We start from the raw sequence: 1,381 nt of genomic DNA on the forward strand, positions 1-1,381 counted from the left end.
TGCATGAATACAACTCATTTAAAAATACAGAGGTACGTAGATATAAAATACCACTCTTTCCAGCATTAGCTATTGCTCATATTTTTAAATTTTGCCAATCTTATTAGTAGAACATGATATCACCTTGTTGCTTTAATTTGCATTTTCCAGATTACTAGTGAGAGTAATTTTTCCTATATTCTTTATTGGCCCTTTGAGTTCCTTCTGTGAATCATGACTTTATATTCTTTGCCTTCGAAGCTAATCACTTCTGTCTCCACCAGCAAATCCCTTGAGGTGATCACATCAAATTACTGTCGCCGTTTGGGACCTGCCTGGTGACTCACTAGACTTCTCTAAGAGACATTCTCGCCATCTCCTGTCTACCACCTTCAATAACAATCACATCCTTCTGTTAAGGGTCCTTAATTTTGATTGTTGCAAAATAGAATGAATTTTTTAAACCTATCAGTCTTGGGGAGCAGTGTGGCCAATGTAAACCTCGTCAATATGGAGGCAGTTACCTGAAGCTCCAGAACTGACTCAAATTTTGGGTAGAATTAGTGTTCAGTTGGTTCACAATAGTACCTGGTTGTTGTATAGGAAGACCATACAATTGGGGTTGCCTAGATAGTGCTGGTTTAAGCATGCTCCCCTGGGGTCCCATCCAGATGGGACCCACTTTCACTCTCTTTTGCAAGTGAAAAGTTCACCTTATCCTTTGTATGGCCTTCAGCAAGTTACTTGGTTTAGGATCCTGTTATCACACAAATGATTAATAGACACACATATGCTGTGGCACTATTTTAAAAATGACTAGTCCATGAGTTTTATAAAAGTTGACAATATGGCAGTCTGTAACTAAGGGTTTATGTTAAACACAGACTTACGGAACTAGAGAATTTTTGAGCTGACATGAAACATAACTTAATTCAGTGTTTTACTGAGGTCTCTGAGTCTTTGAAAAGCTCATGGAAATTGTGGACCTTCTTGCAGGAAGATGCACACTCATACCCACACTAAGGTTTCATACATTTCAGGGTGTCCACAAAGGCTCTGAAACTCAGGGGACCCAGATTAATAACTACTCAAATTTGTCATGTAAATGAATACATTGAGATTCAGAGAGGCTAAATGATATGTCAAAAGAAGAAAGGATTAGAAGGAGAAATAGGCATAGGGTCCCATGGTTTCTATTTTGGGCTTCTTTTTCCTGGTCTCCCTCCTATTGTGGGAGTGTCAGTGAGAAGTTAAAGCTATAGACGAGCTTTCTGCATGGGATGTTATGAAGAATCTGAAATATTCTTTTTGAAAGCAAAGCATGAGTTGACTCTGTTCTCAGTGACTACTTCTCAGATCACTTATGGAGTTCTCATGAACATTTATGATGCAATACCTACTG

At 38.6% G+C, this 1,381-nt stretch overlaps 1 annotated feature.

The window, feature by feature from the left end:
* Nucleotides 560-760: a silencer, noted in NCBI's record as "fragment chr18:22404776-22404976 (GRCh37/hg19 assembly coordinates)". NCBI's record gives its function as "represses an EF-1alpha promoter that drives an FKBP-Casp9 reporter gene in an ReSE screen in phorbol 12-myristate 13-acetate-treated (for megakaryocytic differentiation) K562 erythroleukemia cells {active_cell/tissue: K562(+PMA)}" and the evidence as "EXISTENCE:reporter gene assay evidence [ECO:0000049][PMID:32094911]".

This window comes from Homo sapiens, chromosome 18 (assembly GCF_000001405.40).
Source record: "Homo sapiens chromosome 18, GRCh38.p14 Primary Assembly".
NCBI classification, from domain to species: Eukaryota; Metazoa; Chordata; class Mammalia; order Primates; family Hominidae; genus Homo; species Homo sapiens.